At 43.7% G+C, this 27,788-nt stretch overlaps 2 protein-coding genes across 4 annotated transcripts in view, besides 3 other annotated features; one reads left to right on the top strand and one right to left on the bottom strand.

The window, feature by feature from the left end:
• The window catches only part of TMOD1 (tropomodulin 1), a 100,564-nt gene extending 95,434 nt beyond the window's left edge, over positions 1 to 5,130 (top strand). For all 3 annotated transcript variants that reach the window (NM_001166116.2, NM_003275.4, XM_047423825.1), the window contains one exon: positions 3,021 to 5,130. In NM_001166116.2, the coding sequence (NP_001159588.1) occupies positions 3,021 to 3,085 (65 nt within the window). In that variant the 3' untranslated portion in view covers positions 3,086 to 5,130. The remainder of the gene's footprint in view (positions 1 to 3,020) is intronic.
• Positions 2,005 to 2,064: an enhancer, noted in NCBI's record as "active region_28669". NCBI's record gives its function as "activates an Ori minimal core promoter by ATAC-STARR-seq in GM12878 lymphoblastoid cells {active_cell/tissue: GM12878}" and the evidence as "EXISTENCE:reporter gene assay evidence [ECO:0000049][PMID:35858748]".
• Positions 2,135 to 2,204: an enhancer, noted in NCBI's record as "active region_28670". NCBI's record gives its function as "activates an Ori minimal core promoter by ATAC-STARR-seq in GM12878 lymphoblastoid cells {active_cell/tissue: GM12878}" and the evidence as "EXISTENCE:reporter gene assay evidence [ECO:0000049][PMID:35858748]".
• Positions 2,295 to 2,344: an enhancer, noted in NCBI's record as "active region_28671". NCBI's record gives its function as "activates an Ori minimal core promoter by ATAC-STARR-seq in GM12878 lymphoblastoid cells {active_cell/tissue: GM12878}" and the evidence as "EXISTENCE:reporter gene assay evidence [ECO:0000049][PMID:35858748]".
• The window catches only part of TSTD2 (thiosulfate sulfurtransferase like domain containing 2), a 33,289-nt gene continuing 8,967 nt past the window's right edge, over positions 3,467 to 27,788 (bottom strand). Inside the window, exons 4-10 of the mRNA NM_139246.5 lie at positions 21,144 to 21,264; positions 14,961 to 15,086; positions 13,733 to 13,838; positions 9,530 to 9,648; positions 8,870 to 9,028; positions 8,114 to 8,252; positions 3,467 to 6,154 (exon numbers count right to left, since the gene is read on the bottom strand). Coding sequence (NP_640339.4) covers positions 5,856 to 6,154; positions 8,114 to 8,252; positions 8,870 to 9,028; positions 9,530 to 9,648; positions 13,733 to 13,838; positions 14,961 to 15,086; positions 21,144 to 21,264 — 1,069 coding nt within the window. The 3' untranslated portion in view covers positions 3,467 to 5,855. The remainder of the gene's footprint in view (positions 6,155 to 8,113; positions 8,253 to 8,869; positions 9,029 to 9,529; positions 9,649 to 13,732; positions 13,839 to 14,960; positions 15,087 to 21,143; positions 21,265 to 27,788) is intronic.

A 27,788-nucleotide genomic window follows, 5' to 3' on the forward strand; every position in this document is an offset into this window, starting at 1 on the left:
TCCAGTGCCTGGGTGCTCCACATTGGGAGATGGTCCCATCAGGAGGTCGTCTCTTGACATCTCCAACAAGCCATCCCTTTGCCATGTTACTACCATTCCAGGTAGCCTGAGTGCCCCCAAGTGACCAAGGAAAAGCTTACCCTTAGAGGGTCTTTACTCCCAATGCCCCCCACCTTCCCATCCTCTACCTTTTTGTTGTTTAAAATTCAGCTGACCTGTTAGTTGCCACCTGGGAAGGTCTGACCACTTCATTCTTTATGCCTCTCATACCTCAGAGAGCTGCCAGGGCATCTCTAATACTTCATATTTCTCAAACAGTAGTTCTCAAACATTGTATATCTTGGTTCCTGTTATACTGTGTCTTTACTTCTGATTCTTGTGCTTGGCACACAGCACTCAGTACATGCTGCCGAATATTTAAATGAATAGAAAGTGCTTTCCAAAAACATGATGGAAATGTTCAAATTTGGCAAGAAGTGGCAGAGGAGTTCAAGCAGCAGATGGAGGTTGGTCCGGACGACTGGAGAGCCCTTCTGGCATTCACAATAAAAGGAGTCTCTGGCTCTTGCAATAAGCAGTGAAGAGTTTTTTAAAGAAAGTAAAGACCAGACAGAATTGAAGGAGGATATTGGGAGACCCAGCTTTTACTCCCAGTTTTGTGACTTATTCGTAACTTGGAATAAGTTACTTCCCTCTCCTGGTCTCAACTTCCTTCATCATTAAAAAGGGAAAAAAATAATACCTGAATAAATGGATGCCTTTCCCTTCTCTCCATCCAGTCCCTGAAAAAGCCAGTGCCAGGGGGCCGGGTGGGGTGGCTCACGCCTGTAATCCCAGCACTTTGGGAAGCCGAGGCAGGCAGATCATGAGGTCAGGAGATCAAGACCATCCTGGCCAACATGGTGAAACACTGTCTCTACTAAAAATACAAAAAATTAGCTGGGCATGGCAGTGCATGCCTGTAGTCCCAGCTACTTGGGAGGCTGAGGCAGGACAATTGCTTGAACTCGGGAGGCGGAGACTGCAGTGAGCCAAGATCGGGCCACTGCACTCCAGCCTGGCAACAGAGCAAGACTCCGTCTCAAAAAAAAAAAAAAAAAATAGGCAAGCCAGTGCCAGGGGAACCATGCACACACACACACAGATCCGGCCCAGTGGACACAATGAGGGCAAGTAATGGAAAATAACCCCCCCACCAAGCCATAGGGTCCTTTCTGTTCCCTCAACCATGGGCCAGGGACTTGGATTTCAGTCCTGGCTCTGCTGCCAGCTCTCAGGGACTGGGGCTCTTTTCTTCTGCAGGGAGAAGGAGCTAATCCTCCCTGTGAGAATCAGATGCGATATGGATATGGAAACCCTACCCACACAAGGCTCAAGTCTACTGAGGGAGGCACTGGACTGAGGCTCAAGATGAGTCAAAAGTCTTGGTTCTAGCTGGGTGCGGTGGCTCATGCCTGTAATCCCAGCACTTTGAGAGGCTGAGGCGTGGGGGATCACTTGAGGTCAGGAATTCGAGACCAGCCTAGCCAACATGGTGAACCCCCATCTCTACTAAAAACACAAAAATTAGCCGGGTGTGGCAGCGGGCACCTGTAATGCTAGCTACTCAGGAGGCTGAAGCAGGAGAATTGCTTGAACCTGGGAGGCGAGGTTGCAGTGGGCCAAGATTGCGCCACTGCACTCCAGTCTGTGTGACAGAGCGAAACTCCATCTCAAAAAAAAAAAAAAAAAAAAAAGGCTTGGTCCTGTCTGGTACTAGCTTTATTGCTTTAAGCAAGAAATATACCCTCTCTGCCATACTTTCCTCATCCATAAAATGGGAATGGTAACTAACATTCCAGCAGCGTTGGAGGGGCTCCGATGAGGCAATGAGGATGGCCCTGGTGGGCATGCCTGCACAGCTACTATGGAGATGCTTAAAAGTCTGGTTCATGTAAACTCTTTGGTCACGTTGAGCAAACCTCTTGTGCTCTTTGGGTTTTGGTTTTTGTCCCCTCACATCTACCCCCAAGAAGTTGGACATTCTGATCATCTAAGGAACTGGGCTGGCCCCACCTCCCTTGTGGGTCTGCTTTGTATGGCCAGTGTCATGCACAAGCTGATTTGGTTTTTGTTGCAGCTCGTATTCATCGATCTGGTGGCTGCAGGTCTACCGCCTCAGCTTGGGAACCTGAAGACATCTAAGTATAGACGGACTTTTTTTCCCTCCACCATAGCTTCCTGTCTCTGCCAACACCAGCAGGCCTCTCGACTGCCACCTACTGGCTCTACAGACTTCTTTGACCTTTCTCTTGTGGCTCATAGAGCTTGCTGCTTGGTCTTATCTGCAGACACTACAATTAATTTCAAAACACTCTCCCTTGTTACAACAAACAGAGCCCCTCCTGCCCCTCCCTGCATCCTCATCATCCTTTAAGCTAACGTCTCCAGCCTGCAACCTCCTGGCTAGTGCTTTCCTCTTCATGGCATTTAACTACTTTGTCACTTGAACAGTGTTGAGCATAACTGTCTTGCCCCCGGGGAAAATGGCAAGGTTAAACATAAGGGGATACAGATACTGCAGGGTAATCTTTCGGGTGGAAACTCTCGTTTATATAGGCAGGAGGTAGGCCAGGAGCTCCCAGACATAGCTGGGGGAAATGTTTCCACCTGGTTAAGACCCTAATCTCATTAAGAAGACTGACTAAACTTTTAACTCTTATCTGAACACCGGAGTAAAGATCTTCAACTGGAGCTTCTGTAAGCAAAGAAAATAGCCGACTTATAACGTGGGACTGTGTGGTCAGCCACTTAGCAGATATCTATGAATGAATCTCCACTACCACAGACCCTCATCAATGAACACTGACAGACTGGAGGGCTGTTGTACAACTCACACATACTGTCCTTTCAAAACAACAGACTTCAGACTCTGTTAACAAACCAATTAGTGCGAGGTTTCACAGTGCTTTCTCAGCAACAGTGCTGGCCCCTGGTCTACAGGGAAAAGTGCCTTATATCTTATCTCCATTCCTTTCCAGTGAGGAAGAGGAGGCTTGCGGACCTGACTGGGCCCATCATTCCCAAGTGCCGGAGTGGTGTCTAGTGTGTGGCGGTGGAGTCCATGCCTTTGAACTGGATGTGTTCTATTGATGACCTGTGCTCTGCAGGGGAAACCAGAAGGCAAAATGCTGGCAGCATGAAACCCTTTTGTGGTTCAGTTCTTTATGCACTAAGGTTTTAGGTTGACTAGTGGTTGTAGTTGAAAATTTTATAAAATACCGTTAATGTGAAGTTTTTCTTTAGTCACAGAAGTTGAATCTGGTTATTATTTAAAAACTAGAAGCCCCCAAACCAGCAGATCTTACTGAAGATGATGTTCCAGCAGCAGCGACTTAGCCCCAGGAGCCCAGTTTCAATGGCCTTGCTGTGTGGTGTTTCAAGTGCATTTAAAATGTGTGACACAGAAACGGCACACTCTTCCACATGCTTTTGAAGTATTATAAAACACTTTATTACAAATTTGTCTTAGCTATTAGCAAATAAAACTGATTATCATTCTTTATTAACCCTCCTTGGAATTTTGAAAACCTCGATTAAAGTTGCCAAATTGATTACTGGATCCAGAACACAATTTTCCCCTCAGAACAGATAGACAGACTGAAGCCACTGAACTCTGCCAGGAGTCAACATGAGATTCCTTTTGCTGGATATGCAGAAATGATAGGAAAAAAACCAATGGTGAAATTTCAAGTTTCAAAAACCAACCTTTCATTACCAATCCCAGGCAACAAACATGTCCCTGAGTGTTCTTTAAGAACATTTGGGATTTATGTACAATTTAATACTGGAGTTAGAACTTTTTCCTTATTGAATGCCAACCTTATGATGGATGTGAAAATCTACGGCCAAATACTTTTGAAAACACCTTTCTATATTGCACAGTGGGCAAATGGCTTATGTGAGGTAAGACACTAGAGGGATAAATTTCCAGATCAACATGGCTATGGTATTTAGTAATGGCCCAGCTTAGAGACTTCAGCTACTGATCTCATCACTTATTAGACAAATTGCTGCTGACCTTACGCCTGTATATTAAGCCTCCGCAGGATGCCGGACAATGGTGAAGAAACTCCAGATATCAAGGAATTGGGAAATCCTGGCCAAACCACCCCAAGATGATTACACTGAAATGTAGTATTAGTACTGCTGCCAGATCTCTTTTTAACATCATGTGCGTCTCTTGGGATCCAGCAAAAGTGTTAAGCCACAATGCCCTTGTGCCTTTTAATATACCACAGTGCCAGTTAAACTAATATTTTTGTTTGTTGCTTTTGGGAGTTATTTTCATTAGTGATTTCAGCAAATCTCATGATAAAGGACAAGGTCAAGAACTCCAGAGCACTGAGCAGAGAGGCTGGTGATGAAAAGGTGAAGGCCTGCGCACTGAACTGTAAGGCAGTGGGCAGTACAGGGTAACTGGAGGCGGGGCCAGGGCCTCAGCGCTATGGAAGAGTGTCCACTGAGGCTGCACATGGCCCAGGAGTGGCACCATGTTGCAGGGACAACCATCCCCATTTGGCTTCTCCTTAAAACACAATTGCAGCTGCATTCTGCATCGCTGAAAACTGCAATATAATATTAAATCTGTTGGTCTATGCATGGCTGCGTATGTGTTTCTTGGAACCTGTGTGACAGGGACATGTGCCTGGCACACTGGCCAGAAGACTGGGCAGCCACCATGGCAGTGCTGGATGACCTCAGTAAGAATGTGTCATGTATTCCAGGTGCTGATCTAAAAACTGTGGCTCAAATGTCACCGAGCTTATATGAAGCTCCCAGAGAGAACATTTAAAAGCTCAGAGAGTAAGTGCTGGGGAAAGCAGAGCTATCAGAGGAAATCTCTCATAGAAACGAAACCAAACCAACAGAAAATGAAGAAGGCCACATCTTTAAGGCCACCTCTGCCTCTATCAGATGAGCTGCTGGTCTAGATCAGGGGCTGGCAAACTTTTCTGTAAAAGGCCAGACAGTAAAAATTTCCGATTTTGCAGGCCACATAGTGTCTGTTGCAACTATTCAACTCTGCCATAGATCATGTGTAAAGGAATGGGTGTGGCTGTTCAATAAACTATACAGTTGACCCTTGAACAATATGGGTTTGAACTGCATGGCTGCACTTATATATGGATTTTTTTCAACCATACAGGTTGAAAATACAGTATTGGCAGGGGGCGAAACCTGCGTACATGGAGGGCTGATTTATCACATACGTGGGTTCTGTAGGGCCCACTGTGGGACTTGAGTATGCATTGGGTTTTTGTATACTCAGGCGTTCTGGAACTATCCTCCATGTATACCAAAGGATGGTTATTTCTACAAAAGCAGGAGGTAAGCCCAATGCACAGCTTGCAGATTCCCCTCAGGCGAGAGACAGAGGTTAAGGGTAGATGGCAGATGACCTAAGTGGCTTGTTTTAGGAGGCCACTCCCAGGGCCACAGCTTTCATGTGTTTGCCACCAGGGTAGAAGGTCTGCTGACAAGGGCAATGACTACTAACAGCCCCAGCTGCATGGAACAGAAAGGGCATATGCTGTGGCCACCAGGCTCAGGCTCTATCCCTCAGCAGCTTTGGGATCCCATGCAGCTCACCTATTTTCTGTGCTCTAGCATCATCCAAATCAGAATGTCTCAGGTAAGTGGTAGACAACGTGACTCCTCCCCTCCCGCTGTGAAGTGTAGACGGCTGCCACGGTGGCAGCGGCCAGAACTGAAGTTCCCGATTTCTCTGTTTCTGCAGTCTTGCCATGCTTTCTCTGTATAGTCACCCCAAACCTACTTTTACCGAGGGCCTGGGAAAATGCCAAAGGTGCTGCTCACATAAGCACTGGCCCATCCTCATCAGCATCAGGCCCTGGCTCTGGGCTCACAGGCTGTCGCACATGCTGCAAGAGTTCCCTAGGTATGCGTGGCCGTCGGGCTGTGCACTCGCATTCCTCTTTAAAGCTGTCTTGCATAGGGCCTGAAACTTTCCTGCTCCCCTTGTCTTGACATGTGACACAACAGGCTGTGAATCCTTGTCCTTGACAGGCAGGGCAGGTCAAAACGAGCTGGCGGCACTGGGGAGTAGAGCAGAGTTTATACTGGTCCCAGCGGGCTCCACAGTATGAACACTCTGGGGAGGAAGGAAAAGCCATCATTATAAACACATACATTCACACACACGTGGACAGGCATTGCTCCCTTTGCTGACTAGAATCTCGTAGATCCTGTGGAACCCGGGGAAGGTTTCCAAATAGTAAGTCTTCTGTCTTCTAGCAACAACAACTAACCACCACCCCCACCACCCAGCTTATTTTTTTGTGGGGGTGACTTCTGGTAACTGTCTGCTTCCAGTATTTACTGACTTTTTTTTTCTTTTTCCCATCTAGAGAACAGGTGGTAACTAGATGGTAATGAAAGTTTCTCTCTCTCACCAGCTATTCCAAAGCTGGCCAACTACCTCCCAACCCCCTTGTTAAGTGGTCTTTTCCTCTTTGATTGTTCCCTTTTCCAGGGGGGACAACACACCTAAATACAGGCGATAACCCACCTACAGTGAACATGCGCAGTCCACACCCCTCTCCCCGAGGCCTGTGTCTCTCCTGCTGTTGCTAGGGCACTTGACCATCTGATTCCTAAAACTCACACCATCTTCTTCACCTGTTTTTCCCTGATGACCTCCTGTTACTATTGATAACATCATTCTTCCTCACTTTTCCTTACCTTGCTTATCTAAGCTACCTCTGAGCCTTCCCTCTCTCCTTCATACTCACACGCAGGTACCCATCGAGTCCAGCCAATATAACCTCTGTAAAATCAAATCTACTCTTTCTACTTGTTTAGAATTTATACTCCATCTAGCTCCAAAACAGATCGAAGTAGTGATCAATAAGAGACAACTCAAAACCACTAAAATGAAAATAAGACCAAGAAAGTAGGAGAGGACAATCAAACGCAAATCTTACTCAAATGTGCATGCCACCTGGGTCCACAGAGAGCTATGAGTTCCTAAAATCATGTGTGCTACGGATTTACTTGGTAGTCTGGTGAAGACTATAGATCCTGGCCTAGAAAAACTTTTTTGAGACAGGGTCTTGCTGTGTCACCCAGGCTGGAGTACAGTGGCATGATTTAAACTCACTGCAACCTCAACCTCCCGGGCTCAAGCAATCCTCCTGCCTCAGCCTCCTGAGTATCTGGTACACACCACCATGCTCAGCTAATTTAAAAAAGTTTTTGTAGAGACATAGTGAGCTATGTTGCCCAGACTGGTCTCAAACTCCAGGGCTCAAGTGATCCTCCTACCTTGGCCTCCAAAAGTGATGGGATTACAGGCATGAGCCTCTGTGCCTGACCTAGAAAAATATTTTTAAATGCATAAAATATGTAAGATTACAAAGGAAACCAACTATACAGAAATACAAAATATCAAAGTCTTTTTCAAAATCTGTAATATATAATAAGACGTGCCATTTATTAACACATTATATATCAACTCTTAGTGGTGGGCCTAATAACTATTTTCATTTTGAAGCAGTGATGAGTATAAATACTATTTTGAGATATCTGAGGCAACTAGAACATGATATGAAAGTATTGTGAATCCTACTGAAGACAAAGTCACAGGTACATTAATACAACTGGTACTTTGTTGCCTACATTCATAACTAAAGGAAATGCTTCATTTTAGTGAGGTGTTATTGAAAACAAAGATACAATTATTTTTCCATCCAAATTCACAGAATCCCTGAAATCTATGTACCAATTCCAGGTTAAGAGCCCTGAATTAGCCCAGTAGTACAGCTCTTGGCAGGTAGACAGGCAGGCAGGGCAGGTGAGATGATCCCCATGTTAATGGGCTTGTCCAGCTAGCAATGGTGAAGCCAGGATCCCAACCCAGGCCTCCTGACTCCTGGGCTAGGGTTCTCTCAGCTCCACAGCTGGGAAAATGGTGGCACAATGTACTTATTTTCCCTGCTTATTCAGTGCTCAGTAATGAGCACTGGCCTGTCTTCCCTGTGTCATTTTTCTAGAATAGTGAACTGACAATGTGCTTCATTTCAGTTTGGGCTCTGAGCCTGTGCTGACCTACCTGACACCACATCACTGTTGTAGGACAGAGCATAGCGTTCATCAAAAACAAACAACTTCCCTTTGTAAAAGCCATCAGGAAACTCTTCCAGGTACTTGTGGATGCCACCCTTGAGCTGGAACACCTCCTTGCACACTCCCTAGGTGTGGAAAAACAACAGGAAATCTGAAGAGCCAGCAGAGACCTGTTAAGATGCTCACGGAAGAACGGCGCATGGCGAGGAGTGCTGACGTAGAGGACTCATGGCCGCTGCTATCAGTCAGGGGCTCCTGGCTCCCACTGCGGGACACTGAGGAATTGCTGACCAAGGGGTCAAGGCACCAACTGGCCAGATCTTGCCTCCTAGGGGGATGGGTGATGACAGCAGGCAGGGCCTTCACCCTCTAGATCCTGGGAAGCCCAACTATTTTTGCTGCCCCCTAAATATAGGAAGACACCTGTTGGGACATGTAATGTTACTGAATTTGCTCTTCTCAGGATCAAGCAAAAGGATCAGGAAAAGGGAGATGTTAACTAATCTCTCCCTTTTACATCTGATGAGTCTCTATGACTGTTAAGTGTTTTTCATATCTTGAGATTAAAGACCCTCAGATTTTGTACTTACGAACTCCATGCTGGAGCCATACGAGGGGTGAAGGCATGCTTTGGCTGCCTGGGGGTGGGGAGTACTGGGGGCAGCGGACAGCTCCACGTAAGCTGCTGGTGGAGCTGCCTCCTTCACTGCCATGCCCACAGTGCCCCGGGGTGGTGGCTCACCTTGGCTTTGAGGTAGGCTGAACCCCGCTCACAGCGGATGCCCCCGGTACAGTACATCAGCACTCTCTTCTCTCTGAAAAGTTCTAGATTTTTGTCAACGTAGCTAGGGAAGTAACTGAATTTCCTGATGTCTGGGGCTAAGCAGCCTTGGAATCGTCCCTGTAACATAGGAGCAACAAAAGGAAAATTATCAGAAAAACATACCTGGTAGGAACAAAGGTTCTTTTTGTACCCAACAAACCCTACTTAGCAAAGAAGCCCCTGCCAGTTGCTAATCTCATCCCCACTCTGACCTTTCAACTTCAAGATCTCAACTTAAAACCGAGGCTGTGGGCTGTGGGTCACCTTCCCAGGGTCCTCAGGGGAACTGGAGAGGCTGCCCAAAGGCAACTTTGCAAGATCCTTGATACATGTCAAAGGCAGGCTCATGGGAGTCACAAAGTATATTATGTGCCTGGATGCCTTTAATTCATATTTTCTTAGACTCTCTCACCAGATTTCTGAGTTTTAGGACTTGGGTTTTCTCTGAAGCTGCCAGTACTGGGAGGAGATCCATGTGGCCACAGGTGGGCACACACAAGGTCCCCTTGGGAAATATACCACACTGTGGGAATGGGGAGATCTACCAATTCAGAGAACTCAGTTCTGGCTTTTACTTACTATTTTGCTTTCATAGAAGTTTCTGCAATCAAGAAGGATAGTATCACTTTGTTCTTGATTTGCCTGAGATAAAAACTTTTCTACTTCTTTATGAAATTCACCTGGGGATAAATGGATTCCTAAAACCAAACCAAAAAAATTATATTAAAACAAAGACAAAAAAACCAAAACCCAATCATGACTCACCCAGCCTGACTTACGTGTTGCTTTGTTTCTTTCCACCCAAATCTCTTCTCTTCATAATTACAACTGTCTGAAAAGAACACTACTTGATGATCATGATGAAATAACTTAGTAATTCCAGTAATTCCAGGTATCCTCAATCTCCCTCCTCCTAAAATGAGGGCAATGGAGACCTGGTAGTTTAGAAATAACTAGTCAAAGAATTTTGCATCCTCATACTTGGCCTAACCCTAGTGATAAAAACCAGGCAACTGGGATCTAAATTGCCATGTGAATTTGCTGGTCCATTGTATGGTCACTGGTAGGTCAGGAAATGGCCACTGCTCTATTGTCACTGTACATGGAGGAGCTGGGCAAGTACGTGGCTGACTACAGGCTTTGTAAACTGTTCTATATTAAGGTCGAACCCACGTTGAAGGCTAAGAACCCACAGGCAGGTGTGAGCAAAAAGTTATGGAATAAAGTTGGAATAGATACATTTTTAATGCAAAGGAGCAAGAAGAATGTGTCTAAGTGTGTGTGCATGAGTAAAAGAGAAAAGGGCAAGAGGGGTGGACAACAGAAACGACATATGAGAAAGAAAGTAAAGGAGAGAAAAAGACAGGAAAGCTAGAAGATGGGTAAGTATTAAAATACAAGGGGAAGCCTGGGGAACATAGCGAGACTCTGTCTCTAAAAAAAATTTAAAAAATTAGCTGGCCATGGTAGTGTGTGCCTGTAGTCTCAGCTACTTTGGAGGCTGATGCAGGAGGACCCCTTGAGCCCAAGAGATCAAGGCCTCAGTGAGCTATGATCACACCACTGTACTCCAGCCTGGGCAATAGAGCAAGACCCTGTCTCAAAAAATATATATACAAAGGGACTAATAGGAGAGAACCTCAGTCTCCTGGGGCTCTTTGCCTTGTAACTCTCTAGGATAGAAATATTCCCCTATCTTTGAGGGTCCAGAAATCTCAGTAGATTGTGAGGAACTTTTGGTGAATCTGCATTATGAGGTAGCCATGCCTCATGGGCAGGGGCTCTGGTGACTCAGTTACCTACCACTCATGATAAAGCTTTACAGCACCAAAGGAGCCTCATTCCCCTCAGAGAGGAACCCCAACAACCAATGAAACTACTCCACACCAAGGAGAGATGAGGGCCCAGAGCCAGGCCAAGGAATCTGGATTGCTACCTGCCTGAGTTATGGTTGTAATGAGAATGTAGTAAGGCCAGATTCTATATAAGGTACTGTCACACAATTACATGGATACAAAAAGAGTGGGGTGAAAAGGGAGATTCAAACATGGGACGTAGGCCAGGCATGGTGGCTCACACCTATAATCCTAATGCTTTGGGAAGCTGAGGCAGGCGGATCACCTGAGGTCAGGAGTTCAAGACCAGCCTGGCTAACATGGTGAAACCCCGTCTCTACTAAAAATACAAAAATTAGCCAGGTGTGGTGGCACATTCCTTTAGCTCCCAGCTACTCAGTAGGCTGAGGCAGGAGAACTACACAAAACTGGGAGGCAGAGGTTGTAGTGAGCATTCCAGCCTGGGCAACAGAGTGAGACTCCGTCTCAAAAAAAGGCCAGGCGTGGGTGAGGCAGCTCTCGCCTATAATCCCAGCACTTTGGGAAGCTGAGGCAGGTGAATCACTTGAGGCCAGGAGTTGCAGATCAAACTGGTCAACATGGCGAAACCCCGTCTACTAAAAATACAAAAAAAATTAGCTGGGCGTGGTGGCGCATGCCTGTAGTCCCAGCTACTCGGGAGGCTGAGGCAGGAGAATCTCTTGAACCCAGGAGGCAGAGGTTGCAGTGAGCTGAGATTGCGCCACTGCACCCCAACCTGAGCAACAGAGTGAGACTCCATCTCAAACAAACAAACATGGGATGAAAAGCATGGAAATGTGCTAAGACTTCTACCTGCAGGAAGCCACAGGAAACCAAACCTGTTCCCTGCTGCTATGATTGCAGTTGTTCTACTGGCCCTGAGAACGATTGTTTGGACAGTGACCAGCATGGATGTGTTTAAAAGACATCTCTTTACCAGGTGCGGTGGCTGATGCCTATAATTCCAGCACTTTGTGAGGCTGAGGTGGGCAGATCACTTGAGGTCAGGAGTTTGAGACCAGCCTGGCCAGTGTGGCGAAACCCCATCTCTACTAAAAATACAAAAATTACCCGGGTGTGGTGGCGCACACTTGTAATCCCAGCAACTTGGGAAGCTGAGGCAGGAGAATCGCTTGAACCCCGGGGGAAAAGGTTACAGTGAGCTGAAATCACGCCACTGCACTCCAGCCCAGGCAACAGAGCAAGACTGTCTCAAAAAAAGAAAAAGAGGTCCCTTTAAACTTCCTTCAAGTGAAAACAAGACAGCACTGCCTAGAGCCCACTCTCTGCCTGCAATGTCCTGCAGTGCCCAGGAAAAGCTGTTTGTAGTCATACTGCCTCCTGCTAAGATGGGAACAGTAAGCAGACAACAGCTCTTTCTGGCCCTCATCTCCCCATGCATGAGTCTCTTTCCCAGATGCCTGTATCCTAATCCCGTTTCCCCCTGGCTTCACTCTTAGACTTCTTTCAAAACTTTACATATTACAAAATGAACACCATGGAGTCAACCAGACCTTTGTGCTTCCTGATCAAAGAAGACAACAGTGCTTATGTAGTCTTGGTGGCGGGAGAAAAAGAAATCAAATTGGAATCTGATCAAGTCTCTAGTCCTGGTTGTTAATACAGTAGCTACTAGCCACATGTGGCTGACAAGCACTTGTGCTATAATAGGGGTGACATACATACTGAATCTCAAGGACTTAGCATGAAAAAAAGTAAACTAATAATTTTTTATATTGATTACATGTTGAAATAATATTTTTGATATACTGCATTAAGAAAACCATATTATTTAAATTAATCTCATCTATTTTTTACTTTTAAAGACATGGCTACTAGAAAATGTAAAATTGTGTAGCTCACATTATACTTCTATTAGCACTACTCTAAATCTAATGATCAACTTATAGGAAATAAAGAGGACAGAGAAATATATCTTGGGAATACAATTATTATTGTCCAGATTATGGGAAACTCTAAAGGTCAAATGATCCAGTTCCTTCAAAAATAAACTGCAAGGGGGGAAAAAAAGATGGAAACAAATCTATAGGTTGAAAGACACTTAAAGAGACATACTGATGAATCACAGTGAATGAACCTTATTTAAATCCTAATAGAAATGAAGCTTAAAAAGTATGAGACAACCGGGAATTGAGTGACTAAACCAACTAGATATTTGATAATTTATTAAGGAATCAGTTAAAATGTTTTAAGATGTGATATCGTTTTGCATCTTTTAAAACAAATTTTTATCTTTTAGACATACCTACTAAAAATATTTACAAATGAAATGGCCTGACATTGGGGTTGCTTTCAAAATAATCCAAGATGGGAGAAGGGATGGGGTATAGGTGAGAGCTGGCCATTAATCAGTTAACTGCTAAAGCTGCATGATAGGTACATAGAACTTCACTATATTATTTTCTCTACTTTTTTAATGTTTAAAATTTTTCATAGTAAAAACTACAATAAAACCCCCAAAAACCTGCCAAACAAATGTCTTTCAACCATTTACCATGGAGAAGATGGGGAAAGAACATTCTAGAGCACAGTGAAAACTGCTGTGGTGTTGAAAGCAACTTGTTTCCTGTAGCAAAAGGCCTATTTGCTCTATTCTGCTAATGAACTGTTTACAAGTAATAATTACACTCTTCCCAAACTGCTTGCTGTCTTTGGAAAGAGCAAACAACTAATTGATAAACCATCACCAAGAGGAATAAGATAGGTCACTCGAAGAGGTGAGTCTTCAACCCCACAGCACCACAGAGAAACAGTATAAGCACTGGATGCAGCCAAGTGTTAGCCACCCCACAGCTGCTTTAGAGAGGACTCATGACTGCTGCTGATCACAGTGCCTAGCTTTCTTATTTGTCTATTAAGTTTTGTCCCTGTGAATTAAAGCACAATCTTCTAAAAGCAAGCATACCAGGCTTCTTGTAGGAGATCTTTTTGGGGCTGATCCCCATGGGCACGATTTCTTCAAATACACCAACACGCAATTCTGGAAAACAGTGAGCTCCTCCTTTGCTGGTCTAGCCAATGAGAAACAAAACAGAATACAGTCTTGCTGTCCCATCTCCAGGTATAAGACAAGTGCCAATATAAGAATGATGGTCTGTTTTGTAATAACAATAGCTGAAGTCTTAAAAAACCTCTAGTTAGGGCCCAGAATGTTCCAGATAATTCAACATTGATAAATACTTACTGCATACCTGCCATGTGCAGGAATGTTAAGCTGAAAAAGTGTTTCTTTAGGTGTAAGCATTTAATTATAAAACTGCAACACCGCTGAGCAATTCTAACATGTGACTATACCCGGTTTTCATTCTTTTCCTATCATTGCCAGCATGAACGCTAGCAAGGCATTTCCCATCACCTTATCACTTATTATGACAAGGTATAAAGTCACTCAAACAAAGCAGCCCACCTGTGAGAGCAACAACTTTATTCCCCCATGTGGTATGAAGTGTTAATCTTACAATTCCAGATTTACTAAAAACACAGTGATCTGCTGACCAGGCTGGTGGTCTCTCAAGTGAGCTAATATGTCCAAGATTTGGAGTCCCAGATTGCATGAGCTGTAACATTCTTATTTTATAAGAAGGGATACTGAGGTCTAGAGCACTAGCTGGTCCAAAATCATATGGTGACTCAGTGAAAGAATGGGGACGAGCATACTCCTTCTATTGTACTGTCTCGTAACCTAAAGAGAAAAGCACATTTAAAGGGGAAAGGGGGCAGGTGCGGTATCTCACGTCCATATCTCAGCACTATAGGAGGCTGACGTGGGAGGACTGCTTGAACCCAAGAGTTCCATACCAGCCTGGGCAACATAGTGAGACCCCGTCTCTACAAAAAAATTAGCCAGACATGGTGATGCACGCCTATGGTCCTAGCTACCTGGGAGGATCACCTGAGCCCAGGGAGGTTGAGGCTGCAGTGAGCCATGATCACGCCACTGCACTCCAGCCTGGGTGACAGAGCAAGACCCTGTCAAAAAACAAAACAAAAAAACTCCCCAAGCCCCAAAAAATAAAGGGGAAAGGGTATTTATTTGGCACTGCTTATTTCTCTACTTTGAACTCCTCTTCAATAACATGCACAGAGGCAGAAGCAGATGGCTCTAGATCCATTTAATTTTCATTTTCTCTTACCTTAAAATCATCTTTACACAGGTCATCCTTAAACAATGGGAAGGAAAGCATGACTTCCACATAAAGTCTGGTAGCCAATTTGCTTCCACCAACTGTCCCATTGATTCCTTCTGCAGCAATTCGAATCTGAGACACAAGACGGTGAAAAAGAGAACAGATTGTTCTTAGCTTGGTTATCTTTCCAGGGAAGAACAATAGGCTCATGTGTGTCAATGAGTTTAACAGGAAAAGCAGAGACGCTGATGAGGACACCAAAGTGTTACTGGACAAAGATATCTGTGTTTTTCTTTTTTATTTTAAACTTTTAAGTCCAGGGATACAAGTGCAGGTTTGCTCTGCAGGTAAAACTGTGTCATGGGGGTTTATTGTGCAGATTATTTCACCACCCAGGTATTAAGCTTAGTACCCCTTAGTTATGCTCCTGATCCTCTCCCTCCTTCCACCCTCCACCCTCCAAAAGGCCCCAGTGTCTGTTGTTCCCCTCTATGTGTCCACGTTCTCATAATTTAGCTCCCACTTATAAGTGAAAATATGTAGTATTTGGTTTTCTCTTCCTGCGTTAGTTTGCTAAGGATAATGGCTCCCAGCTCCATCCATGTCCCTGCAAAAGACATGATCTTGTTCTTTTTTATAGCTGCATAGTATTCCCACATTTTCTTTATCCAGTTTATCACTGATGGGCATTAGGTTGATTCCATGTCTTTGCTACTGTGAACAGTGCTGCAATGAACATATGCATACATGTGTCTTTATAACAGAACAATTTATATTCTTTTGGGTACATACCCAGTAATGGGATTGCTGGGTCGAATGATAGTTCTGTCTTTAGGTCTTTGAGGAATTACCACATTGTCTTCCACAACGGTTGAGCTAATTTACACTCCCACCTATAGTGTATAAGTATTCCTTTTTCTCTACAACCTCACCAGCATCTGTTATTTTTTGACTTTTTAATAACAGCCATTCTGACAGGTGTGAGATGGATACCTGTTTGTTTTTTAAGACAGAGTCTTGCTCTGTTGCCCAGGCTGGAGTGCAATAGCACAATCTCGGCTCACTGCAGCCTCCACCTCCTGGGTTCAAGCGATTCTCCTACCTCAGCCTCCTGAGTAGCTGGGATTACAGGCATGCGCCACCAAGCCCAGCTAATGTTCGTATTTTTAGTAGAGACGGGGTTTCGCCATGTTGGCCAGGCTGGTCTCCAACTCCTGGCCTCAAGTGATCTACCCGCCTTGGCCTCCCAAAGTGCTGGGATTACAGGCACAAGCCACCGTGCCCAGCTGGATACTTGTATTTTTCTAAAATGGCATAGCCTTCAGTTCAGATGAGGTATTCTGTTTCATGCATGCTGAACAAAAGAATGTGAATAAAACTCCTGGAAAGCCCCATTTGCTATGGAGCTACAATAGTCCAACAGCCAAAGAAGTGAATTCTGAGCTTAATCTAAATCCAGGTAGCTTAACAGAGTCCTCCACAGAGGTCAGCAGATCTAGGCTCAAGATTAAGCTCTGCCACTCACTTGCATGTAGCTGTGAGAAAGTTAATTGACTTCTCTGAATCTTAATTTCTTTATATGAATAAAAAGGGAACTAAAGAGCACCAGAAATGAAAAGAACTGCTGAGGAGATACTACCAAAATCCTAAAGCACAGAGTACATCTGAGGGCTGAGGGTATACATGAGCATGTATCTCTGCATGGTGTTTGGAGGACAGCCTACCACTGCAAACCATCCACTGGAATACAAGTTCCACATGGGTGTGTGTCTGTTTTGCTCACCAGCATATCCCCTAGAACAGTGCCTGCCACATAGTAGGCACTCAATACGATTTGTTGAATAAATGAATATGCATCCATATCTGGGGCTCTTTGGCATCTCAAGTCCCATATTCTCTTTGAAATGCTCCCCTGGTTAGGGGACATTAGAGCCTGGGGTAAAGCCCCAGCCTTAAGAGGCAGTGTTCTGGGGGCCCTGCAGAGTTGGTTGTTTTCGTACTACAAAATCCTGTGGATGAGTTTAAAGATGGATCATCTTTAAAGGGAACTGAGCTCTCTAAAGAAAAGTGCTAGCAAGGGCAGCACATGTGGCATCATGGCACTGTCTGGAAAAAGAGATGATTTAATTCAAGGTCCTATATTGTTCTAGTCATATAACACTGATATATACCAGTACTTCATAATTTGAAAATTTTTAATGGCTGTCCTTTTTTAGGGTCCAGAGAAGACACATCAGTTGATGCCTCACTTGATCAATTCTTTTTTTTTTTTTTTTTTTGAGACAGAGTCTCGCTGTGTCGCCCAGACTGCAGTGCAGTGGTGCAATCTCGGCTCACTGCAAGCTCCGCCTCCCAGGTTCACACCATTCTCCTGCCTCGGCCTCCCAAGTAGCTGGGACTACAGGTGCCCGCCACCACGCCCGGCTAATTTTTCATATTTTTAGTAGAGACGGGGTTTCACCGTGTTAGCCAGGATGGTCTCAATCTCCTGACCTTGTGACCTGCCTGCCTCGGCCTTCCAAAGTGCTGGGATTACAGGCATGAACCATCGCACCCAGCCCTACCTGATCAACTCTTTAGGGTATGGATATAAAACAAGATTCATGGCACAAGCCAATGCCAACTCATTGGAAGTGGTATATAATTTTAAACTTTGAAAGAACATAAAAGACACAAACATATGCATGTGTGTAATATGATCAGAGAATATTTTAGGAAAATAAAAACCATCGATAACCCTACATGCCTAGATAATCCTTACTAACATTTTGGTATACACAACCTTCCATGTTTATACATGCACTTCTGGTTTTGTCATGAACATGCATTCTATATTCTCCAAATATCTACTGAGGGTCTACTACATGCTAAGCTCTGTTCCAGCACTGAGAATACATCAATTAAGACCAAAATTCCTGTCCTCATGAAGCTTATAAATGAAGATTATACTTTCAGATAGTAATAAATTCTTTGAAAAGCAGAAAGGGATAGAACGTGACAAGATCTGGAGAGGACTACTTCAGACTGCAGCTCTAAGGAGACAATATGTGAGCCGAGATCTGAAGTGGGGTATGCGCCATGTGAAGGTGCAGGGAAGAGCACTCTAGAGAGGAAGGAAACAGCAAATGTCAATACCCTGAGCTGGTAAATGACCCTGGCAGGTTCTAGAAAATTAAGAAGCTTGGAATCACACCTCTACGTATAGTACTGTAAAATGTTTTCCAGAGTTCCATGACAAAGATTCCGGGTCACATCCAGACTCCTTGAGAAACAGTGCTGCAGTCTAGTGAAGCCAGTTCTGGGCATGGGAGAGGGAAGCAGGAAGCCTGTGACATCTCTGCTACACAGGCTACTGTCCCCACTACCAACTTATAGTGGACTACATAGAAAAATAGAGCCCAATCAGTGTAAGAGTCAGAAAACCCACTCCAAAAGAGTTTCTGACTACAGCAGGTAGGATGAAGTATGTATGTCTAAGTACCTCTCTTGGGGTAGGCTAGTAGATTCTTTTCTAATTTATTTTAATCTCAGAACCCAAAGAGAAGACAAGCACATCTGCTCCCTATATAGCTAGGGCAGAGCATGCTCTAAACTCGTGCACTAGACTTTGAACCCCCAGGATTCTCTAACAGAAATCCTTCAAAGCTCCTTAGTGAGGAAGGCCTTGTAAGAAACTGAGAAGAACAATCATTAGCATTTATTCAGCACTTGCTATGAGACAGAAGCATTACATTATAATCCTGAAAGGCAGATATCATAATCCCCGTTTTACAGAAAAGGAAACAAAAGCTCAGAGAAATCAAGTAACTTGCCCAGTGGTATAGCTGATAGCTGGTAAATCTGGGATTCAAAACCAGATCTTACTAGCTCCCAATCTTATAACTTTTCCTTTCCAAAGCCTTCAATGTATCCCCTCAAATTTTTTGAGGCAATAAAGAATACACAGCAATAGAGTAGAGGCTTTTTTCCCATAATTCTACAACTGTCAGGTTCTTCTCTTTCCCTACTTAGGCACTGATATTTTGCCAAATCTCCAAACACAAAACTCTCATTAAACTGGGCATGTATCCTTGACACCTAGGAATTTATATCCAAGATCTAGGCAAGTGCTGCCACCTTGTGGGTAAGATCCCTCATTGCTAATTTAGCACTTGGGTTGGGCCAAGAAAAATGATCTGCCTCTAAACCAAGAGGCTGTTTTCAAACCTTGTACATTCAGGTTTACTGTGAGAGTATCCATCTTTCAGGGTGTGGAAGTTTTCTGAATAGGAATGGTGATGAAAGTATTAAATATTATTTATTTATTTACACCAGGAATTGTGCTAGGAATTAGGGATACAGTGCTTGAAAAAAATATAGCTTTTCCCCTTTAGGAGCTTACAGACTATGGGAGGTCACAGATATTAAAATAAAAGTTACAAATGGACAAATGTTATGAAAAACAATTACAAGATGCCATGAGAGAGTGCACTGGGAAAAATGAATTTAGATTGACAGGAAAGGTCTCTTTGAGGAAGTGTCATGAAAATTGAAAACTAAGCTTGAGTAAAAATCAGACTGGAGCAGCAGAGTGGGTGTAGGAGAGTTCCTTGAAGATAGTTTGCTTGTAAGAAGGCCCAAGGAGAGAAAAGAACTCGGTGGGTTCCAAAAAACTGAAAGACCATGTTGCTGGAGTATAATGAGCAAAGAACAGTATCAGACGAGAGGAAAAGGTAAGAAGGGGCCAACTCACGCAGGAACCTAAGGGCATTTTTAAGGCACTGGATTTCCTCCATATGCACCAGAAGTGGCAGCCACTGAAAGAGTTTGAGGAGGGAGTGATGTGATTTGATTCACCTTTTAGGATCATTATGGCTGTGTGGAGAATGGATTAAGTGGCAGGCAGGGATGGCAAGCTGAAGAGTAATTTGAAAGCTACTGAATGGACTGGGTAAGAGAGGGTGGTGGTTTGGTCTAAAGTGGTGAGTGTGGAAGAGAGAAGGGAACGGAATTAAGGAATATTTGAAGAGGTGGAAATGGCAGGCCTTGGTGATGAACTGAATGAGGTAAATGAAGTCATTATCTGTTGGAAAACATGGATGTGAAAAATATCACTGATCAATTCAGACCTGGGTCATATGTTGGGAAAGATGAAACAAGGCAGCACAGTGTCATAACCAGAGGGGGTTTTGGGGGAAACTAGTTCACTTCCTTTCGATTTAAATTTTGAAAATCATATAAAATACATAGACATATGCATGTGTATAATGTAATCAGAGAATATTTTAGGAAAATAAAAACCATCGATAATCCTACATGCCTAGATAATCCTTACTAACATTTTGGTATACACAACCTTCCATGTTTATACATGCACTTCTGGTTTTGTCATGAACATGCATTCATTCCTTCATTCTATATTCTCCAAATATCTACTGAGGGTCTACTACATGCTAAGCTCTGTTCCAGCACTGAGAATACATCAATTAAGACCAAAGTTACTGTCCTCATGAAGCTTATAAATGAAGATTATACTTTCAGATAGTAATAAATCCTTTGAAAAGCAGAAAGGGATAGAATGTGATGAGATCTGGAGAGGACTACTTCAGACTGCAGCTCTAAGGAGACAATATGTGAGCCGAGATCTGAAGTGGGGTATGCGCCATGTGAAGGTGCAGGGAAGAGCACTCTAGAGAGGAAGGAAACAGCAAATGTCAATACCCTGAGCTGGTAAATGACCCTGGCAGGTTCCAGAAAATTAAGAAGCAACTTGGAATCACACCTCTATGTTCTATAAAATGTTTTTCCAATTAATATATCACAAACATTTCCCTATACCAGGGTCGGCATATTATCCTTGCTTTTGCATATAGTTTTATTCAAACACAGCCATCCAATTCTTTTACATTATTATCTATAGTTGCTCTCATGCTATAACAAAACTGAATAGTTTTTTGTGCAACACCTAAAATTATCTACTATCTGGTTCTTCAAGAAAAAGTTTGCTGACTCCTGGTTTATGCCAGTAAATATTCTTATAAAATACCATGTTAATGGCTGCCTAATATTCTACTTAAATGCTCAGCAGAATTTCCCTAACTTTTAAGAACTCAACAGTGAATCTTTTTTATAATGAGCACAGCATTTGCAATCCAAGGTTGGCAGGCAAGATGGACCCAGTGAAGGAAGGAATATAGGAGAAGGTGTTACCTTGCCTGTGAGGTGCAGGTGCTGACACAGAGCTGTCTGCCAGGCACAGATCCATTGGGGATCCTCCAGGTCATGGTAGCAGTAATAAAGGAGCACCTCCCCTTCTTCACTGCCCTGGCCACTATAAAATGAAAATCCAAGGCAAAGAGCATTTGAGTCGCTGGCATAAAGAAGTCACAATTCATAAAATACACCCAGGCAGTCTGAGGGAAGGCTAAGATGAGGACACTCATGCCTGTCTTTGCTGTGATGATTGTTCTCCTCCTGAAATGAGAAGCAACTTCTTTTTATATTTGCTCTACAGAAGACAGTATCTGCACTGAACTTACTTTACAAAAAGTGAGTTTACTTTGATCCCTCATTTAATGGTCACATCCAAGAGACAGGTATTAGTAACTCCAATTCATAGAAAAGTTAGAAATTTGGTTCCATTCTGGCCTATCCTCTCACATAAAGCAGTATCTGTATGAATCATCATACAAAAAAGTTTCACTTCCATTTATTCTTATAACCCTCTTTCTATGATGCAGGTTATTATTATCCCCATTTAACAGCTGAATAAATTGAGGCCAATTCCTCCCAAGTCAGACAGCCAGAAAGTGATAGTAAGGACCTAAACGCCAGTCTTCTGATACCAGATCTATACTCTTTCTACTGCACTGGGCTGTCTTACACTAACTAGCTAGGCAGGTCTTTCATCACTTCTGGGCCTTGGTTTCCTCATCTGTAAAATCAGAGAATGGAAATAAACTATATTTTCCAAAGTATGTTATGAAGCTGTTCTATAAAATTATGTTTGGAAACCCTGCAGACAGCATCTCCCTCCTTAAGAATCACAGCCAAAGCCTCTTAAAGGCTCTGAGAAGTCTTGCAGTAACAACATTTTGACTGAGTGCTTCCCAAATTTGTCTTTAATACCCCTTTTTTCAATACCTTGTTAGCATCCTCTAGAACTAGTGTTCCACAGAACATATTTTAGGGAATGCTACAGTACACGACAATTAAGGTCCTATCCAGCTCTGGAGTCTGAGTCCCTCCTCAACAGCCTCATCATATTTCAGGGCCTAGTCTCTTCCATGCTTTCCATGCTCCTCCATGAAACCTTCTTGTCTATTTTAGATCCTATTTTCCTTTCTCTAAGCTCCTATAACAAGTTAGTCTCTGTAACATACAATTCAACTGATAATTATGTAACCCGTTATCATCTGCTAATTGCCTCATGTGTCTTTTTCGTTGTTTTTCTAACTAGTAAGTAAATTCCCTGAAGTGTGGGGCCATATGAAATGGAAGGGCCATATCTGTATAGCACAGTGTAGTTCACAACTGCTTATACTATCACCGTCCTATATAACTCATTCTGCAGTACTGGGAGGTAGGCAAGGCAGGCATTATTATTCCAATTTTAGAGGTGAGGAAATGAAGGTACAGAAAATTTTAGTGACTAGCTCAAGTGTGACTTCTACTTCAACTTGCTTTCTTGCTCCTTTCCAATAAGTAAAAGGGAATGTGGCACTGAGTAGTAATGACAAAAATTGATCAAATTTGGACTACAGTTGACCCGTGAGCAACGCGGGTTTGAACTGTGCAGGTCCACTTACTTGTAGATCTTTTTGTGCCTCTAGCACTCATGCAGCAACAAGACCAATCCCTCTTTCTCCTCAGCCTACTCAATGTGAAGGTGACAAAGATGAAGACCTTTATGACGAACCATTTAACATAAAGAATAGTAAATATGTATTACGATTTTCTTTTTTTCTTTTTTTTTTGTAGGGCAGGGTCTTACTATGTTGCCCAGACTGGTCTTGAACTCCTGGCCTAATGTGATCTTCCTGCCTTGGCCCTCCACAATGCTGGGATTATAGGAATAAGTCACTGCACCTGGCCTCTTATGATTTTCTTAATAACATTTTCTCTAGCTTACTTTAATACAGTATACAATATATAATATACATAACATAGAAAGATGTGTTCATTGACTGTTTACATTATTGATAAGGCTTCAGTCAACAGGAGGCTATTAGTATAGTTTTGGGGGAGTTAAAAGTTATACGCAAATTTTCAACTGCCCCTAATCCTTGGATTCCTGACCCCGTGTTTTTCAAGGATCAACTGTATTTCTATTTACCAAATAGTTCAATAATTGCTTAAAGTCAGAAATTTGTCCTCTGGAATTCTGTAATATGACTTGGTGAGTTTTTCAAGGCCAGGATCTAAACATCTAATCCTATGATTCAGTTTTAAAAGTTAATACACTTCCTAAAACATATTCAGCTCAGAAAACTGTATCTGGCAATAAAAACCTGATATTGCTTGGCTGTGTCCCCACCCAAATCTCATCTTGAATTGTAATTCTCACAATTCCCACGTGTCATTGGAGGAACGCAGTGGGAGCTAATTGAATCATGGGGGTAGGTCTTTCCCATGCTGTTCTCATGAGACTGAATAAATCTCATGAGAGTTGATGGTTTTAAAACTGGGAGTTTTCCTGTACAAGCTTTCTCTCTTTGCCTGCTGCCATCCATGTAAGATGTGACTTGCTCCTCCTTGCCTTCCAACCATGATTGTGTGGCCTCCCCTGCCATGTGGAACTGTAAGTCCATTAAACCTCTTTCTTTTGTAAATTGCCCAGTCTTGGGTATGTCTTTATCAGCAGCATGAAAATGAACTAATACAATAAATTGGTACTAGTAGAGTGGGGTGCTGCTGAAAAGACACCCAAAAAGGTGGAAGTGATTTTGGAACTAGGTAACAGGCAGAGGCTGGAACAGTTTGGAGGGCTGAGAAGACGACAAGAAGATGTGGGAAAGTTTGGAACTCCCTAGAGACTTGTTGAATGGCTTTGACCAAAATGCTGATAATGATATGGACAATGAACTTCAGGCTGAGGTGGTCTCAGATGGAGATGAGGAACTTCTTGGGAACTGGAGCAAAGGTGACTCTTGTTATGTTTTAGCAAAGAGACTGGTGTGGCATTTTGCCCCTGCCCTAAAGATTTGGGGAACTTTGAACTTGAGAGAGACGATTTAGGGTATCAGCAAAGCATTCAAGAGGTGATTTGGGTGCTGTTAAAGGCATTCAGTTTTATAAGGGAAGCAAAACATAAAAGTTCAAAAAATTTGCAGTCTGACAATGCAATAGAAAAGGAAATCCCATTTTCTGAGGAGAAATTCAAACTGGCTACAGAAATTTGCATGAGTAATGTGGAGCCAAATGTTAATCCCAAAGACAAAGGGGAAAATGTCTCCAGGGCATGTCAGAGGTCCTCATGACAGCCCCTCCTATCACATGCCTTGTTGTGGGAAGTCAGGGACCCTGAACGGAGGGACTGGCTGAAGCTGTGGCAGAAGAACATAAGTTGTGAAGATTTCATGGACATTTATTAGTTCCCCAAATTAATACTTTTATAATTTATGCCTGTCTTTACTGCAATCTCTAAACATAAATTGTGAAGATTTCATGGACATTTATCACTTCCCCAATCAATACTCTCATAATTTCCTATGCCTGTCTTTAATCTCTTAATCCCGTCATCTTCATAAGCTGAGGATGTATGTCGCCTCAAGACCCTGTGATGATTGTGTTAATTGCACAAACTGTTTGTAAAACATGTGTGTTTGAACAATATGAAATCTGGGCACCCTGAAAAAGAACATGGTAACAGCCATGTTCAGGGCACAAGGGAGGTAACTATAAGGTCTGACTGCCTGCGGGGCCGGGCAGAACAGAGTCATATTTTTCTTATTGAAGAAAATGAGTAGAAGAAATATCGCTGAATTCTTTTCCCAGTAAGGAATAACCCTGGGAAGGGAATGCATTCCCGGGTGGTCCTATGGACGGACACTCTGGGGGTGTCTGCCTTATGCGGTTGAAGATGAGGGATGAAATACGCTCTGGTCTCCTGCAGTGCCCCCAGGCTTGCTAGGATTAGGAAATTCCAGCCTGGCGAATTCTAGTCAGACTGGTTCTGTGCTCTTGAACCCTGTTTCCTGTTAAGATGTTTATTAAAGACAATGCGTGCACAGTGGGACATGAAACCTCATCAGTAATTCTAATTTAGCCCTGGCCTTGTGACCTTGCTCTGCCCTTCTGCCCTTGTTATCTTTTTTATTGCCATTTGAAGCATGTGATCTCTGTGATCCACTCCCTATTCGTACACCCTTCCCTTTTTGAAATCCCTAATAAAAACATGCTGGTTTTGTGGCTCAGGTGGGCATCACAGAACTTACCAACATGTGAAGCGACCCCCGGACACCTAGCTGTAAAATTTCTCTGTTTTGTACTCTTTCTCTTTATTTCTCAGGCCGGCCAACACTTAGAGAAAATAGAAAAGAACCTACGTTGACATATTGGGGGCTGGTTCCCCCGATAATGCCTGAGGGTCTAGGAGGAAAAAATGGTTTCATGGGCCAAACCCAGGGTCCCCCTGCTGTGGGCAGTCTAGGGACTTGGTGCCCTGCATCCCAGCCACTCTAGCTGTGACCGAAAGGGGCCAATGTAGAATTCAGGCCATGGTTCCAGAGGGTGCAAGCCTCAAGCCTTGGCAGCTTCCAGGTGGTGTTGAGCCTGTGAGTGCATAGAAGTCAAGAATCAGGGTTTGGGAACCTCTGCCTAGATTTCAGAGGATGTATGGAAACACCTGGATGCCCAGGCAGAAGTTTGCTGCAGGGGCAGGGCCTTCATGGAGAACCTCTGCTAGGGCAGTGCAGAAGGGAAATGTGGGGTCAGAGCCCCAACACAGAGTTCCCACTGAGGCACTGCCTAGTGGAGCTATGAGAAAAGGGCCATGGTCCTCCAGACCCCAGAATGGTAGATCCACTGAGAGCTTGCACCGTGTGCCGAAAAGATGCAGACACTCAACCCCAGCCTGTGAAAGCAGTCAGGAGGGAGGCTATACCCGCAAAGCCACAAAGGCGGAGTTGCCCAGTATCATGGGAACCAATCTCTTGCATCAGCATGACCTGGATGTGAGACACGGAGTCAAAGGAGATCATTTTGGAGCTTTAAAATTTGACTGCCCTGCTGGATTTAGGACTTGCATGGGGCCTGTGGCCCCTTTGTTTTGGCCAATTTCTCCCATTTGGAATGGCTGTATTTACTCAATGCCTATGCCCCCATTGTATCTAGGAAGTAACTAACTTGCTTTTAACAGGCTCATAGGCAGAAGGGATTTGCTTTGTCTCAGATGACATTTCAGACTGTGGACTTTTGAGTTAATGCTGAAATAAGACTTTGGAGACTGTTGGGAAGACAGAATTGGTTTTTAAATGTAAGGACATGATATTTGGGAGGGGCCAGGGGCAGAATGATATGGTTTGATTGTGCCCCCACCCAAATCTCATCTTGAATTGTAATTCTCACAATTCCCACGTGTCATGGGAGGACCCCAGTGGGAGGTAATTGAATCACGGGGATGAGTCTTTCCCATGTTGTTCTTGTGATAGTAAGTCTCACAAGATCTGATGGTTTTAAAAACAGGAGTTTCCCTGCACAAGCTCTCTCTCTTTGCCTGCTGCCATCTACGTAAGATGTGACTTGCTCCTCCTTGCCTTCCACCATGATCATCAGGTCTCCCCTGCCATGCGGAACTGTTAAGTCCATTAAACCTCTTTCTTTTGTAAATTGCCCAGTCTTGGATATGTCTTTATCAGCATGAAAACAGACTAATACAAAACCCTTTTTTAAGCTCTGACATTACATAGGGTAGAGGAATCATTAATGTCTCTGTGTCTTCCCACTTGTTTTTGAAAATAATATAATTTTCTTTCTTTACCTCTCCTCCCTAAAGAATATGTAGAATGGTCTCCAAGAAACCTTGCAAACAGGCTGGATGCAGTGGCTCACACCTGTAATCCCAGCACTTGGGAGGCCAAGGTGAGCAGATCACCTGAGGTCAGGAGCTCAAGACTAGTCTGGCCAACATGGTGAAACCCTGTCTCTACTAAAAATACAAATTAGCTGGGTATGGTGGTGCATGCCTGTAATCCCAGCTACTCGGGAGGCTGAGGCAGGAGAATCACTTGAACCTGGGAAGCAGAGGTTGAAGTGAGCCAAGATCACACCACTGCACTCTAGCCTGGGTGACAGAGTGAGACTCTGTCTCAAAAAAAAAAAGAAAAAACCTCACAAACAATGTCAACTGACTGGGTATATGCTGCTGCACAGGCTATGGTCTTTGGCTATATATAGTATGCATGTTATTGGCCTAACTTAGGCCTCTAGAATTCTGTGCCTTAAGGATCTAGCTGTTGCAAGTAGTTAAGATCCTGAAAGAATAGGTAAAGTGCAGGCAGTGCTGCTAGGTAATACACACTAAAAAGTAACAACTCTGAGGTATGGTGCCCAGCCTCCAAGATGATCCCTGATGATCCTGCCTCCTGGTATTTAGACCCTTGCATAGTTCTCTCCTAGACTGTACTGAGGTTAGTCTACGTGACCAATAGCATCAATAAAAAGTGATGGTATGGCAATCTGAGATTAGGTCATAAAAGATTGTGGTTTCTGTCTTGAAGTGTCTCTGTCTCTCACATATCACATGCCATGTCATGAGAGCACTCAGGCAGCCTATGAAGAGACCCCCACAGAGAGGAATGGAGGCCTTTGACTAAAAGCCACTGAAAAAACAAGCCTGCCACCAACCACATGAGT

The sequence above is a fragment of the Homo sapiens genome, chromosome 9 (assembly GCF_000001405.40).
Source record: "Homo sapiens chromosome 9, GRCh38.p14 Primary Assembly".
In the NCBI taxonomy this organism is placed as follows: Eukaryota; Metazoa; Chordata; class Mammalia; order Primates; family Hominidae; genus Homo; species Homo sapiens.